The 17,183-nt window shown below is 38.5% G+C and overlaps 1 protein-coding gene across 7 annotated transcripts in view, besides 1 other annotated feature; it reads right to left on the reverse strand.

Moving 5' to 3' along the window:
- CRYZ (crystallin zeta) overlaps positions 1–17,183 on the reverse strand; it is a 27,565-nt gene continuing 10,382 nt past the window's right edge. For 3 of the 7 annotated variants that reach the window (NM_001889.4, NM_001130042.2, XM_011540747.3), the window contains 6 exons: positions 13,724–13,887; positions 9,094–9,145; positions 4,613–4,762; positions 1,618–1,719; positions 1,414–1,509; positions 1–972 (listed from right to left, as the gene is read on the reverse strand). In NM_001889.4, the coding sequence (NP_001880.2) occupies positions 811–972; positions 1,414–1,509; positions 1,618–1,719; positions 4,613–4,762; positions 9,094–9,145; positions 13,724–13,887 (726 nt within the window). In that variant the 3' untranslated portion in view covers positions 1–810. The remainder of the gene's footprint in view (positions 973–1,413; positions 1,510–1,617; positions 1,720–4,612; positions 4,763–9,093; positions 9,146–13,723; positions 13,888–17,183) is intronic. The other 4 variants (NM_001130043.2, XM_017000367.3, XM_047446751.1 and 1 more) reach the window with 2 other exon arrangements.
- Positions 16,560–17,117: an enhancer, noted in NCBI's record as "OCT4-NANOG hESC enhancer chr1:75187729-75188286 (GRCh37/hg19 assembly coordinates)". NCBI's record gives its function as "activates a minimal SCP1, AML or CMV promoter by ChIP-STARR-seq in naive H9 embryonic stem cells {active_cell/tissue: H9 hESC(naive)}" and the evidence as "EXISTENCE:reporter gene assay evidence [ECO:0000049][PMID:30033119]".

Genomic DNA, 17,183 nt, shown 5'->3' on the forward strand with positions numbered 1-17,183 from the left:
TTTTAATTTTCTATAGACTTTATTACACATTATTATGTTACGAGACAAATGCAGATAATTCTTAATTTATCAAATTTGTGAGCTTAATTAACAAAAATATTTGACCCTCACCAGAAAAACAGATAACTCTAAATCTACTCTGAAAATCTAATCAATTGCGAAGTATTACCTATTTGGAGACTATGTATTATATCAAAGATAAAGCTACTATTCTCACAGAACATATGGGGTCATTGGCAGCCAACCAATAATGAAGTAAATATTCTAATATTTGGGAAAATACTGAGAAAACTAATAAATTGTCCTGGATATTATTTATTCTTGCCTTTACAAAAGACTTACACATCCAAATGAGATTAGTTTAGAATAGAGGTTTTTAGTTCAGAAAATGTTCAAAGTCCAATACAGTCATGGCTAATCAGAGACTAGAGAACCTTTATAAAGGTAAGTAGGCTTGAAAACCCTTGGAAACTGAGCAGTCTTATTTTGAACTAGCATGTTTTAATCAAAGGTATGGAATTAATCAAATATCAATTAAGAATTACTGGAATGCACACTCATGCCAAATGACAACTAACATGTTATTTCCTACTATGATGACTCTTTGATTTGAGACAGATGGCATAAAAAAATATTGCTAGCTATACAATAAATTTTACTCTTCTGCTTCTGCTCTCTAAAGAAAAATCTTATTTTTTCACATAAGAAGCTCATGGAATCGAATGTTAATTAAAGAAAAGATAGGGTAAGTACAACTGGGGGAAAGACAGTACCTCTAATTACATAGGAAATCCATGAAAGAATTAATCATCATAAGAGAAGAATCATTTTTCCAGTAGCCCCACTACCATGAATGATATTTTCATGAGCCTCGGCCACCTTCTCCAATGGATATTGAGAACCTATCACAGGTTTCAACCAGCCAATTTCCATTCCAGCTTGAAGGGCTGCTGCATATTGCTGAAATTCCTCCTAAGAAAAGGAAAAACAAATTTCTTTTTGTAGTGAACCGTATGATTTAATTTTCAGAAGCATTAAAAACACTTCAGAATCTAAGTGTTATACCATGAAGAGTCTCTTACAAATGTGTGACTTTTGTCAACTTGTCCAGAACTATAGAAAAAGTAGTTATCTACAGGGTAACCATAAATCCCATCTGCCTGAGACAGTGTTAGTGTACAAAATACCTGTTGTCCTGAAATTATTACTAGTATCACATTTCTATCTCAAAAGGTATGCTTACCTGGATATAAATTATACTGTCACCCTAGTTGTCCTTCTGGTGACTAATCCTTACCAACTCCCACTAGTCATATAACTAAGTTTAACATCTATTCAAACTTTCAGCTTGCCTGAGTAGGCAAACTGTACCAATGTTTAAGTTACCAAAATCAGAAGTACTTCTTTTCCTACCTTGGTTGAGGAAAAGAGAGTAACTCCAATTATACTCGACTCCTTTGCCATGGTGTCTCGTGGGTTTATTTCAATAGTACCTCTGCTGCCAACAACCTAACATGAAAAACAGCAATTCTACAGTTAAAGATTACTGTAAAATAGTGTTAAATTGTGGTAAAACATTAAAGTGGTAAAAAAAAAAAAAAGAAAAGGAATACTTACTATCACTCGTCCTCCATGTGACAGAAGACTCAAGTCTTTACTAAGATTTACATTAGCTAACATTTCAATAATTATATCAATTCCTTTCTCACCAACATACTTCTATATAATAAAAGAGAAATGTAGAGTAAGATAGCAAGTGAAAAACTGTAAAATAGCTACTATCTGTACAAGATATTATAGAAATATGTTTCAAATGATATATAAATGCTACATCTTTGAGACTAATAATGCAAAATTTTAAATAATCTAATTATATAATCACGATGTAATTCCAAGGTACCAGCCAGAACATCTAAACTGATAAAAATTTGTACTAAATACATTGCTGTAGTGAAATAAAGTTTGTCTGGAATTTTCAGGTGCTAGACTCAACTTGAGTATAAAATACTTAGCTGAAAATTTTCTATCTGTAAAATAAACTTTCATAAAGAAACAATAAATCAAAAGCCCCAAACCCCCAGGGGGCTCCCATTTTTATTAATAAACAAAAAGCAAAAGAAGATATCATTAGCTGTTCGGTTTTGCATGATTTTTGTTGTTTTAGTGCATTTGGTTTTGTTCTAAATGGTTTATCATCTGTTTGATGCACTAACTCTTTTGGGCTCTTGGATGTTGGACGCTGGCTCTTACAAAAAGCTACACACATCTACATTATATTCATTTTATTTTAACACACACACACAAATGAATCCCTGTGCCCGGGATTGCACTAGGTACCAGGAATACAAATACAAACATAGGGAGCTCAAAACAAAACTAGTGAGAAAGATGGGAAATACTACAGTCATAGCTATAAAGTAATGGGCTAAGTAACACATTAGCAGAAATAAATCATAGAATACAGAGAAAAAAGGTTAAGGTTTGATTGCCTGCCATGGTCAGATAAAGTTCCACAGAGACGATGAACTGGGCCCTCAGGGATGAATAGGAGTTTCCCAAGCCAAAAGAAAGGAAAATGAGTAAGGGGAAGCTAGACCTGAGGCTGAGTCAGTCTGGACCAAAGAAACAGAAAAGCAAAGATGGAGGGGACTGAGAACACAAGGATTGAAATACAAGAGGAACTGAAGTACATAATCAGGTAAGGGGGAGTGGCAAGGAGAGGAAGAGGTAGGAGAGAGGAGACTGTAAGTTGGGACAGATAGTGAAAACACAGTGAATGCCATATTAAAGGATTTGGATTGTGTGGGGTTTTTTTTGTAGTTGTTTTGTTTTGTTTTTTTATTACAGGGGTTTATTACTGCATGTGCAAGTGCAGTAGGGAACAGAGAGACAAAACTCCTCTCCTCATAAAGCTTCCATTTTATTTATTTCTGGAGATCTTTTTTAAGAGGGAGATGACAGCATAGATAAAAGGGTGTATTAGCTCAGTTATGAATAACAGTCAAGGCTGGAGAAACTGAGGCCTAAACTAAGTTATGGTGGTCAGTGGAATAGAGATAAGGAAATACATTTGAAAGGCATGTCAGAGATGAAACTGATAAAATGAGGTAACCAACTTGCTGGGTGGGAGGGAGAATGATAATTAAAAGACAGGAAAAACAAACAAAATGAGGGTTTCTGTCTTGGGCGACCAGATGAGTAGCAATGTCTAGCGGGTTGATGGCATGAAGGAAGTGAACTCAGGCCAAAGACAGTTTTGGAAATCAACAGTATATGGGTAGTAAGGGAGCCACAAGAGTATATGAGACTGATCAGGATGAAAGTCTAGCACCAGGGAAGATGAGAGACCAAGCAAAAACAACCTAAGGAATATTAATATTAAATAATATGAAGAGGGCGGAGATTGAAAGTGAAAAGTCAGGAAAGTAAGAAGAGAACCTGTTTCAAAGAAATGTGGTCAGGGTCATATGCTCCTGAAAAATCAAACAAGATGAAGACTGAAAGAAGACCAGCAGACTGTTAATTAGGAGCTTCTCAGTGACCTCTGGGAAGCAGTATAAATACTTGGGCTATAAGCAAAACTGCAGTGAGAAGTGGTGGAAGGTAAGGAAGTAAAAGCAATAAATACTACTTTTTCAAGAAGTTTTGTGGGAAAGAGGAGAAGAGAAAGGGGAGTAAGATAAAGGTTAAGAGAATGTTTTTGAGAATGGGAGAGACTTAAGCAGAAGGAGTCAGTGGAAGCTCCCAAGACCTCATGGTCTTAAAATTAGATTATTGCTGAACAAAAACCATACTCTTAAAATAACGGGCCATTTTTCATCTTTGTGAATATTCTTGGATAATGGTATCAGCAGTGCTAGATCTTAGGTTCCCCAGACGTATAACAAAGGAGTGCTTTTGTTCGGCTTTTTGGCAAGATGATTGCAAAAAAGGTAATAAACTCTCACTCTTATTTTTTCCTTCATTTGTAATGATCTAATTTACACAGTACTCAATATTTGGGAAATTCTAATCTCCCTAACGTGAGGAAGTGGTTGAGGATTAGCAAAGCAATAAGTGTTTAGCAAATTGCTAATATAGTACAAGTGAAGAACTTCAGAATCTGCTTGAATTCTGTTAAATGCAGCAACTAAATAAATGCCACCTCACCATTTTGGATGCAGTAGTGATTATTCCTCCAAAGCATCCAGCTAACAAATGAACTTTATTCCCTGGGCCACACAGATCCAGTTTGTAATTTACAGATATCTCACCTTCCATGGAGAATTCACATCAGTAGAAATTATATTAAGAATACCTCACAGCTGCAAATACAAAGCTGCAGCTTTACTTAGAATGTTATTTGCATTAAAAAATCAATTTTTATAGCTATAAGATTCTAGAGAAGCTATATTCTATTTAATACACATAAACAATACAAAAATGATAGTAAAAGTTTAAAACTTAGACATCTGTTTTTTAAATAAAGTTTTAAAACACGCATAAAAATTCATCGCACTGAAAAAAGGAAGCAAACAGCTTTAAAGGAGTAGTTGGTTAAAAACATATTAAAAAACCACGCAAGTCTCCAAGGAACAAAGTTTGACTTTTGTAAAACAGTGGAAAATTTTACCTTAATTTTATCAATGTAATTCACTTCTCTGTGATTGAACACTTCATGGGCTCCATTTTGCAAAACAATCTTTTGTCCTTCCTCAGTACCAGCAGTGCCCAAAATCTTTAAGCCATAAGCTCTAGCAATTTGGCATGCTGCTAATCCAACCTGAAAAACAAATATAACCCAAGAGTTATATATTCTCTACACTCCTGTAAACACTTAAATACATACAATGAACTTAAGATTCCTATAGGACCCACCCTAACTTTAAGGAACTTAAGAGTGTAAATGAAGAAATAAGAAAAACAGCTAACTTTAATTGAGCATTTAAAATATTCCAGGAACCATACTAAATAATTTCTACATATTGTTTTATTCTATCCTCACAATGACCCTATAAAGTAGATACTATTATTGTCCCTATTGTACAGATAAGAAAGTTGAAGCTTCAAATTATAAGTAATTTGGCCAAGTCATATGCGGAGATGGAAACAGGAGTTAGACCAGTCTGACTGCAGAACTTGAGTTTTTAACCACTGCATCAAGATGTTTGCAGGGTTTAAAGATGATCAGAACATGCTCTCTGACTTCTTTGTGCATATGAAATTCTAAATAACAAATGTAAGGCCTCCACCATTTAAGTAGAAGAGATAGGTATATGGGCAAATTAACTAATTCATCCATATGGTGAATGTTTATAGAGTGTTTACGATGTGCTAGACATGGTACTTAATGTAAGAAATAAACTTATATTCTAAGGGTGGAGGAAGATAATAGTCATATGAATGAATAAAATAAATTCAGGAAATAAAAGTGCTAAGAAAAAATAAGACTGGCTGTTGGGTTAAAGAGACAGGAATAGGGGCTATTTAGGTCATCAGGAAGAGCCACTCTGAAAAAATGAGACCTGAAAAAAGTGAGGAACAAGCCACGAGAACATCCGGTCAGCCACGTGGAGGATGCTGTGGGCATAGTGAATGGCCATGGCTAACCTGGCGAGGTGGGAATGCAGTTGGGGTCAAAGAACAGAAAGAGGGGCAGTGTGTCTCAGGGAGGGGCGTGTACGAAAGGGTCGAAGATGAGGCCAGAAAGGCCAAGTCACACAGAATCTGAGGGGTGAGGGTAGAGGCTTCCGAGTATATTAAAACCTGTGCAGAACCACGGGAGAGCTTAAGCCAGGAAATGATCTGGTTGACTCAGGCTTTAAAAAGGTTGCTCCAATTACATGTGAGGCACAAAGAAAGCGGTGAGGAAAATGGGAGGAGGAAGATCAGTTTGTAGCTGTTAGAACAGTCTAGATAAGAGATGAAGCTGGCTTGAACAAAGGTGGTGGCACTGGAAAAAATAAACAAATTCAGATATAGTTTAGAGGTAAGCTAATGGGACTTCCTCACAGATTGAATGCGGGAGATGAGGAAAAGAGAAAAATACAGGCTGTCTCCTATGTCTTTGGCCAGATTAACTGGGTAGAGTGAGAAGACTGGAGAACACTAAGTTTGTGAAAATCTCCAGATTTCACTTTGCCAAGTGTGGTGGCGCATGCCTGTAATCCCAGCTATGTGGGAGGCTGAGGCAGGAGGATCGCTTGGGCCCAGGAATTTGAGGAGTTTGGGATTGCAGTGATCATGCCACTGCACTCCAGTCTGGGCAACGGAGCAAGACCCTGTCTCTAAAAAATAAAAATAAAAGAATCACTTGTAACATGCTGAGCTGCACAGTGCTCATCTACTTACGGGCGAAGATGTTCAGCAATCAGTTGAATATGAGTATGGACTCAAAAGGGTTCAACTGGAGATATATATTAGAGATTCATTATCTTACGGATGGTATTTAAAGCCAAAGGATTAGGTGGAACATGGTGGCTCATGCCTGTAATCCCAGCACTTTGGGAGGCTGAGGTGAGTGGATCACCTGGGGTCAGGAATTCGATACCAGCCTGGGCAACCTGGCAAAATCCCAGCCTCCCAAAATGCTGGGATTGTAAGAAATCACTAGAATACCAGATAAATGTGCTTAGTATAAAAGAGAAATCAAAGTAATTTAAGAATATAGACAAAAGAGCAATTACTTAAATAACAATACTAGGAAATATATCTGATTAGATGACAAATGATGGTACAAATAAGTGTCACATACATTTAGAGCAGAGTTTCCCAAACTTGGCACTATCAACATTTTGGGCCAGATAATTATTTGCTGTGGGAGACTATCCCATGTATTGAAGGATATCTACTCTCTAGATGCCAGAACCCCTTCCCCAAGTTGTGACAACCAAATATGTCTTCAGACATTGCCAAATGTCCCAGAGCGGAAGGAGAAATGATGCAAAATCACCCGCTACTCATAACCAGTGATTTACAGGGAGGACCGGGTTCGGCAAGAAAAGAATTAAGATGAAAAATAATGATAGAAACAGATTAAAGCTGTAACAGACTTCCAGGCCTGAAGTGGACCTTAAAGATTGTATGGCACATGGGAATAACGAGGCTGGACTCAGCCAGGTTATGGCAGGAATTTGTTTAACTGAAACAAACAAATACATGAAACTCACTGTCTGATGGAGGAGAGAGACATCCAATTAGATAAAACACAACCCACTATGGGGTGGGCACAATTAATTTTCTATTTTAATTTTCAAATTTAAATAAAAGACCTCTAATAAAACCACACTTTAAAAAGCTAACGTAACTACATCTCCTTGTGTTCTAACTGCTTTAAAAGGGCACTCAATAGCTCTTTTAAAAAGGCACTGTTTATTCTATTCTTGTCAACAATTATACCAGCAATGATCCTTCAACAGATTATGCACCATTATGTGTCAACTATTTTTCTTCTACTTATTTTGCTAACACTAAAATAGGGCACTCCTCACCAACATATCTGGATAATAGCTGTGTTCATAAATTCCACACCATTTTAAACACACAACATAATCCCAAAGGAATTCGAATTAAATGAGGACAGAAAGTACAAACAGAAGCAAGGCAAAACCCAGTACTGTTTCCCTCTGATAGGACAGGGAGGATCAGAAGCACTTCACACACCAGGTCACCAGCCTATCCCTGCCAGCTGAGGATTTAACAAACTCAGCCAGCTCAGAGAACAGTGTGGATTTTACCTTAAAAAAAAATCATGGTGAAGCAACTGGGCTTTTTACAAGAGGGTAAAGGGAATATAAAGAGATTTTCTTTAAACTCTTCTCTCCCCTTCCTACTGAAATCTTTCCCTTCTGCACAGAGCACTAAGTTAGCTCTCTGAAAGCCAGGGTAATTTAAATAAATGTATGTGTTTGACAGACCCTTTAGTTACTTAGGGTTAAATTTAATTTAACCCAAAAATAGCCTCTTCAGTGAAGTTAAACAGTGGGAGTTTTGGACAAGGTATATCTGTCATATTGTCTCAAGCCCCATAAAGACAATCCTAGTGTTTTTTCATAAATTGTTTGATCTGTGAAATCCTTTAGAATTGATCTATTTGAAGTGTAGGAAGCTAGGTGTGAAACCTCGTGATTCATCTACCTAAAGAAACAGAGAGACAAAAAGGACTGAAATTACCTGGGCACTTTTAAAGGTAAATTCACATTTTCAGGATACCACTCATTATTCAGGGGACTATGTGCCATTTAATAGGTTACTTCTTTCAATCCACTCTCCAGAATACACAGTGCTCTGAAATGGTTAACAGCCTCCTCAAAGTAAGCATCTAGCCCCAGGCCTTTTATTTTTAAAATGCAAAATCTTATCTCCAAAATTTCCAAAGCATCCAGTGACAGAGTTCATGTGGATTTCTTGTTAAATTCTAACTGCAGAGCTCTAACTTTTCCCTCTAAGCTCCTGAGAGGCAGATTGGCAGCTAGTTTCTCGAAGAGGTTTCTGACAGCCCTGCATTGGGTGATTTCATTGAAGGGCTTATTTTAAGTTCTGAGTCCTCCTCCCCCATTCCCCCACATTAGCATTTTCAGCCATGGGTTGTGGTGTTAAGGACAGGGCTGTATACGTGCACTCCATGGATGTCATCAAAGTGCAGCAGGCAAGCAGCAGAAGGGAGATAGAAGGACTAAGAATTCACAGTGTGGCTTTACCGTGCTGTCTGGGGCAACATAGGTAAGCTTTAATGAGCCTTAGTTTCCTTATCTAAGGGAATATGGAATTAATATCAACCTTAAAGAACTGTTTAAAATTCTAAATAAATATTTTTATAACATATGCTACTTGAAGGCAAAAACAAGGCCAGTTTATCTTAGTCTACACCCAATACAGGTGGAAAATCTAACATATTTTTGAAGGGGTGCTCTGTTGAGTTTATTAACCAAGAAATGCTAAACTAATGACAAAACATCACCTTCAGAAGACCAAAATCAAAAGTTTTACTACATAAAGAAAAAAAGCACCTTTGACTCTATTTATAAATCTGACTTTTAAAAATGACCAAAGGAACTATAATGTGAAACCCATAAACCCAAGCTTGTTTCAAAATACATTAAAAAAAATACTTACTCCTCCACTTGCCCCATGAACCAGAACACTCTCTCCAGCTTTCACACAGGCACTGCAAAGGAAAGCATAAGTTACATCACCTTATTTTTTGAAGCTAATTAATCTCGGGTGTTTTCATCATCTTAAGGAATTTCTACCCCTAGTCTGGCTAACACTTACACAAACAGCAAATGCAACCTGACATACAGCCCCAAATATTCCCTAAGCTCCACAGAATAAACAAAGCCTTCAATTCATTTATTCCTTGAACAAATATTTATTGGGAGTCTTTATGTTCCAGGCACTATGCTGCTGGACACTGGGATGACTATGTGGTGCTACTTCTGAGTGGCTACAGTCCTTGTGGGTTGTGAAGTAAAATTGCTGAGCCTGGAGGATCTGGAATCTCTCATTCCCATATATCCCCCACAGAAAGGGCCTCAAAGCAGGTTTATTATATAGCTCAGTCTTTATTCTGTGGTCTAGAGTAATGTCCAAGTAAACACAGTAGCTATTTTTTTTGCCCAAGGAAAGAAAGAAATTTTTCTTCTCCATGTCTCTGAACATCAGGTTGCACCAGCCTTGTACTCTTTCAGGGAGGAATGCTGAGTTAGCAAAGGTCAGAGAGTAGGAAATGCAATAAATTCTATCACAAAGATTCCCATGTCATCCCCCTGAAATGTCCAGATTCTCTGGTGAAATGGCATTTTCTTTTTACTTCCAGTTCACATGACTACTTTTCTAGTATGTACTGAAAAGAAGGGACATGCAGCAAGGCATGAGGGGATGCCTCACTATTCCAGATGGACGGTGCCAATGTCAAAAGCCAGCAGATGCTGTGAGATCCAGATCTGACTCTCAGGAAGGCTCTCTTACTTCCTCAAACAATGTGGGGTGGCCACACTGCAGAGACATTATAGAACATTATGCTCCACCTGGGAAAGAGAACAGTAACCAGAGTCCTGCTCCCAGCTATGCACCAACAGCTGAGAAGTGGCAACAATGAGCAATAAGTGAAGCTTTCTCCCACACTCTTGCTTAGAGCTGAAGGGACTGAGGACAATATGTTAAAGTAAAACATAAACATAAGGGGATAGGATGACTAGTGTTAAACTATGGGATATGAAATACCTCCCAAAGAAATTTTTCAAAAATTCTTATAAGATGCCCCTCAAACACTAAAGACACATTCTCATAAATCCCTGGGGCCTGGGGTGAGGGGAGAAAAAGCAGGCAAATCCCCTCCTGAATCCTTGCACAGAGTCGCTGTGACAGTTAATTTTATGTGTCAACTTGACTGGGCCAAGGAACCCAATATTTGTTCCAACATTACTCTGTTACAGAAACAGTGTTTTTTTTTTTTTTTCGAATGAGATTAACAATGGAATAGCTGGATTTTGAGTAAAGCAGATGACCCTCTAGAATGTGGGTGGGCCTCATCCAATCAGTTGAAGGCTTTTGTTTTCAAAGACTGACCTCCGATGAGCAAGAGTAAATTCAGCCAGCAAACTTTCTATGGACTTAAACTGCACCTCTTCCTTGTGTCTCCCATCTGCTGGCCCACCGCAACAGATTTTAGACTCACCAGTCCTCCACAATTTCATGGGTCAACTCTTTAAAATCAATCAATCTGTGTGCGCGTGTGTGTGTGTGTGTGTGTATGTGTACAGAGTGACTGATTCTTAAGGAATTTATATAGAGATAAATGATAGATCAGATCAAATAGAAGATCAAATAGATAGATGATTGACTGATAGATAGACAGACAGACACACATCCCGTTGTTTGTTTCTCTGGAGAACCCTGACTAATACAGTCATCTTCCCTGGTGCTCATAACACTCAGCCTGGCCTTCCATGCTGCTGTCCTTTACCATCTTCTAGTCACTGAAGACTAAGACCTGGCACATAGGCTTTCTCTCCCACCCCAAATCCAGCTCCAATCAAGGAGACACTGCATTCCCCAGAAAGAAAATCAAGCATCACAGTTCCTGAATTTTCCTCCACTTATAGCCACTCTCTCCCAGGGCTTAACTACCAGCAACCATTCTCCCTGAGAAATATCAGATGCCAATAACCAATATTATGACAGTAATTTATCCTAATTCTGAAAACCCATATTCTCTCAAAATCTTTCTTCAACTATGCAGAGATTACTGACTCTCAATAGCTCCATTTCTGCCCACTTGCTGCTCCAGGCCTTCCTTCCGTCCCTACTCAGCCTGGACTCCATAGATTGCCCAGCCTCCTCTCCCCGCAGCCCCTGTGCTCTCATTTCTTTTGCACCATTCAATTTTGCCACCAGCATTCTAGCCCTGGATTAATGTTCAAATCTAGCTTCCTTGATACTCCATCCAAATGGCTAAGTATTACAGAAAAAAATCACATGACCATGCATTTTGGTGCCACTTCAGCTCTGATTCTTAAAATATCACTTTTTGCCTCCTACTTAATTGTGAAAAGTGACGCAATCACACACAAGTACCTTCAACACTCCATCTCCCTATCCATAAATGTTTCCATAATTATATCATCTTTACCCTTTCTAGGTTTTACAGATGAGCTGTGCTTTCCATACTGGAAGCCAATCTCTCTACCTATGTCCTAAGTCCTTTCCATCTTGCCTTATGCAGATCTTATTCCATCTGTAAATATGTTCAAGTCTTGTCTATCCTTAAAAAAAAAAATCCCTTTTTTCCACATACTCTCCTCAAGTAACCTTCTACTCTCTCTTCCTTGTCTCCCCCATTTTTAAAAGAATAGTTTCCATTCAAGGAATTGATTTCCTCTTCCTTCCTCAATCCACTCAGTCAAGCTCTTCCCACCATTCTATTGAAAAGGAACTGACTAATGTCACCAATGACCTCTTAATTGCTGGGCCCAACTGTCATTTTTTTCTGAACAGACCTCTGTTGCATTTGACAGCTGGCCTCCCTCCTTAGTATCAATATCAATTGCCACTCCTAAGGCTGCCAGCAGTGATTGCGCACTTACCCTGTGCCAGCCCCGTACTAAGAACTTTATACACATTACCTCCAAGTAATTCTTACCACACCCTAGCAGGTAGGTGCTGTCATTATCTATGTTTCTCAAATCAGTAAACTGCCCTTGAGATGTTTAAGTAACTTAACCAAGGTCACACAACTAGTACTATGTGAAGACATTGACCCAGGCTGTTCTGTCTTCAAAGTCCATGCATTCACTGGATGCTTAAGGAATACCATGACCTCTAGATTCTGCCGGTCATGGAATCCTTTCGGTCTCTTACAACTCTATCCTTTTTCTCTGACTACATTCTTAAATGGTGATGTTCACAAGGGCTCTATTCTCACTCCAGTGTTCTCACTCTCTGAGGAATTTCAACCACTTTTCACCTTGTCAATTCTTACCTACATGCTGCTATCCCCAAATTTGTATCTCCAGTCTTCAAGCTTCCCACTTTTTTATCCAATAGGCTACTGAACTTCTCCATTAGGATGTGTCTCTCACAACTTCAAATCCAAAACTGAATACAGCTTCCCTTTGAAACTTTTTCCCTCTTTTCTTTGTCACAGTTAAACATGACCCAAGCTAGAAAGCTGGACTACTCTTAAGTTCTTCCTCATTCTCTACCTGAAAATAATCACCAAATACCCCTGATTTTACCCCCACTAAATAGTTATTCTTTCCTCTCTACTTACTTCTTCTACCAGAACCCTTGCTCTGGCCCATAAGGATTTTGTCTAGTGGAGACTCCTATAAGACGCTCTTATCTCTTCATTCCTATCCTCAAATCCATCCTACACACAGCAGATAAGTCATCTCAATAAAACATAAATATGACAATAGCAGTCTCCTGAATAAAGCATTTCATTACTTCCAGTCCTTTACAGAGCAATGGATAAGCTCTATAATCTGTCTTTTACAACCTGAATTCTATATATTTGATGACAGCTAACATTTATTGAGAGATTACTCTGTTCCAACTTTATTCTTCGCTACTCTTTCTCTTGAAATCTCTTCTCTAACAAAATCAAGTTTCTATAGCTGTTCCCACACACCATACTGTTTTTCCCCATACTATTCCCATTGTCCAGAATGTCCTCTCTCCTTCTAGTTACCCTTCCTGAGGTGAATTCCCTCTGATGCTTTTCAAATACTTAGTAGATGGGATTAAACTATAGACTCTCAGGCACCAGCTATGGAAACTGACCAGAGGGTCTGGGGTAGGGCCCAATAGTGTACTATTAAATTGCTGCCTAGATGATTCTAATGGATAACAAGATTTTTGAACCATGGCTTTAAAATAATCTAAGTCTTACACCTTGCCAGGAAGCCCTACCTCATCACCACAGGCACATGCCTTCTGAGTCTATATATCCCTATGCACATCTCTACCACTGTACTTTCCACATTATATATAAATATGATCACTCTTATGTCATTTCCCTTACTAGACTGTGAGCATCTTGAAGACAGTGTTTGCTCTTCTTTGTATCCCTAGTGATTAGCACAATTCCCCAAATTCACAGTTTCCATTATATAAATGTTTAATGGTAAGTAACTGGTAACCAAATATGATGAACAGATGGATGGACAGACAGCTAGAAGGCAGGCAGTTAACACTACCCTCTTTTGGCATTGGCCATAAAATTGACAGAATGTGTTATTACCTGTGGATCAGAGCTCGATAAGCAGTAAAATATGGAATGCCGATGGCAGCTCCTTGTTTAAAGTCCAGTTTTTCAGGTAGTTTGTAAACAGTGTGGTCTGCTGCAAGAGCATACTCTGCATAACCCCCAGAGATCGTGCTGCTAGTGAAAACTCTGTCACCTTTCTAGGGGAAGAGATAAATGAATAAATGCAGGAAGACTAAACATATTATGTCAAAATAGGTATAATCCTTTATAACAAGAAATAAGTGAGTACTCATATATTGTCCTCTATAGGGTCTCATATAAATAATTTTTTTTTTTTTGAGACAGAGTCTTGCACTGTCACCCAGGCTGGAGTGCAATGGCATGATCTCAGCTCATTGCAACCTCCGCCTCCTGGGTTCAAGCAATTCTCCTGCCTCAGCCTCCTGAGTAGCTAGGATTACAGGCGCGCACCACCACACCCGGCTGATTTTTGTATTTTTAGTAGAGACGGGGTTTCACCATGTTGGTCAGGCTGGTCTTGAACTCCTGACCTCATAATGTGCCCACCTCGGCCTCCCAAAGTGCTGGGATTACAGGTGTGAGCCACCATGCCCAGCCATAAATCATTTTAAAATACTTCACATTTAAAAATATTTATTAATGGGAACCAATGGGAAGAAAATCTAAGGAAAACAGAAAACATATAAGAAAAAGAAGGATAAACTTCCTTGAATGGCATCATAATGATGTTGATGGCTCAGTCCATGAAGAGCTTGCTATACCAGGCACTGCATTAAGTGTCTCTGGAGTGTTATCTAATTTCATCTTCACAACAGCTAGTGAGGTGGGCATGTATTATCTCTACTTTAGAGCAATCCCCACTACACAGATGAGTAAACTGAGGAACAAAGAAGTTCAATAATTTCCTCAGATCAAGCAGCTAGTAAATAGCAGTCAATATAAACTGTTATTTTTGTCCAAAATGCTAGGGAGAAGAAACAAATAAGATATGAAGTTTCTTCCGCACACCAAACACCTACTCTAAATCCCATCCATGAGTTTCCTCACCCCTGCATTGCCGTTATTTCTCATGCAAACACCCAAAGGCAGAAAACCATACTAGGACCCTGACAGCAGGATGACCCAGGACAGCCTTCTTCTTGTCACGGCACCAGAAACACAGTAAAGCCTCAACAAATGTCTGCTGGACCTCACTATTAAAAAGTAGATGCAGGACTCAGGGTGAAACAATGCCCTAGGCCAGGCATTATTGGGCCAGTATGTAATTTGCACATTAGGGAAAATTAGACTGCCCACCGTAACCACCTACCTTAACTCCTCCTTTTTAGAAAAAAGTAGATATTCCTTAGAATAGGCAAATTATTAAGGTAATGATTGCTCAGTATACTTTAACTGAAATCTGAAAATGTAGAAATGTTATCTGATAGGATAAAGACAAAAAAGATTCAAAAGCCATCCAAGAGTCAAAGACAAGTATCACCGCTTAATATGGTTGCCCAGAAATGTCAAATATGATGAAGATTAATCCAGTTTTAACAGCTAAAAAACATGTTGAATTGATTTCAATATAATTCAAACATTTACTGCGAATATACTACATAGAAAGCATTATTTCAAGTTATGTGAGGCACATCAATACCACTGTCCCTAACCTCAAGCATCCTAGACTCTCGGAGGAGAGAAAAGCAAAGGATAGAAATAATTACAAAAAGCAAGGCAAACATGATGAGCCACTGAAGATAGGTACAAGAAAAAGAAAGAAATTACTTCTAAGTAGAGGAAATTAGGACTAGCTTTATCGAGAAGCTAACAATTGAGGTAAATCTTGAAGAACAGGACAAGATTTTGAAAACTAGAATGGGGAAGAGTCATTACGGGTGAAGGAAACAAAGTTGGCCAAACGATAGGGACAGGAATAAATGCCATGAAATTAGCAGCATTTATTACCAATGAGTAAGCAGACTAATGTGTGGTATGTAACTGTTTCAGGAGATAAAATGAAAAGAAATTGAAGCTAAAGTGTAAAATCCTTTGAATCCATGTTTGTAAGTTTCAATTTAATTCTGTCAATTAGAAGAACCAATATGAACAAAAACACAGAGATGAGAGAGCATGGGATGTGCAGGGAAGGACAAACACTTCATTACTGAAGAATAAACTACACTGTGAGGAGGAGTGGGAGTTAAGACTGGAAAGACAGATGGGAGAGAGCATGAAACAGTCTTATTTCATAGCAATAAGGAATTTTAAGAGTCTCCCTGAAGTCTACAAGACATGGATGCAAGAATGAAAACAGAGGTGTAAAACAATCAGAATTAAATTCTATAAAGTGATTCATTCTAGAGTAAGGATGAATTCCAGGGAAAAGAGAAAGTGTCTATTATAGAAATTCAGGTCAGGGGTATAGTTAAGTAGGTAAGATAGCCTGAACTAAACTACTGGCAGTGGAAATGGAAAGGAGAGAGAAAACAGTTCTAGTAAGGGAAAGCGAGGAGTAATCCTCAAATCCCAGAAGTCACCAAGACAGTCACACAAGAGAGGCGCTATCTGCAGTGAGAAAAGATAAGCTAGTTTTAGACATGTTTTGTAAGAGATTTCTGGAGGTTGATCATGTGAGTCTAGTGTCTCCAACAGAACTCTCTGTAATGATGGAAATGGTCACATCTGCACTGTCCAGCAGGATAGCCACTGGACACGGGAGGCTATTAAGCATTTGAAATGTTGCTAGAGTGACTCAGGAACTGAATTTTCAATATGAATTTAAGTTGAATTTTAAATTGCCACATGTAGCTAGTGGCTACTGTTTTGGATAGCACAGATCCAGAGCTTAGCAGAAAATTCTATGCTAAAGATGTAACATGTGATAATGGCAACAAAAAGAGTGTATGAGATTATGAAAAAGGTAAAGAATACAGAAAGCAGAGGTCTAAATAGAGACTGAGAGCCCCAGACAACACCAAGATTTAAGGAATATCCAGAGAAAAAGAGAGGCCTGAAAACGGAGGCCCAGAAAGGAGGGGGAGAGGAGAACAGAAGAAAATGATGTCACAGAAGCTGCAGAAAAAGTTTAAAGAAAAAGTTAAGTGGCTAAGAGTGTCAAATGTCACAGAGAAATCAAGAAAGATAATGACATAAAAGGGCCCATTAACTTCAGCAATACAGAGGCCATTAGTGACATTAGCAAGAATCCTTTCAGTGGAGCGATGGGGGCAGAAGCCAGGTTGCCACAAGCTGAGGGGTGGAAAGCTGTATGAATTTGCCAGTCTTCCTGTACAGGGGCACAGTAATCTTCTCTGTCTCAACCTAATTTTGGTAAGGTGCTGCCAAAGTTGAGCAGGTCAAGGAATTATGAGGAAAGATGCTAGGACATGAGCTTACTATGAATATGTCTTTGGGCATATATATATATATATGTGTGTGTGTGTATATATATATATCCTGAGCATAACATTTTCACTGAGTCAGGGCTCCA

Source organism: Homo sapiens, chromosome 1, assembly GCF_000001405.40.
Source record: "Homo sapiens chromosome 1, GRCh38.p14 Primary Assembly".
In the NCBI taxonomy this organism is placed as follows: domain Eukaryota; kingdom Metazoa; phylum Chordata; class Mammalia; order Primates; family Hominidae; genus Homo; species Homo sapiens.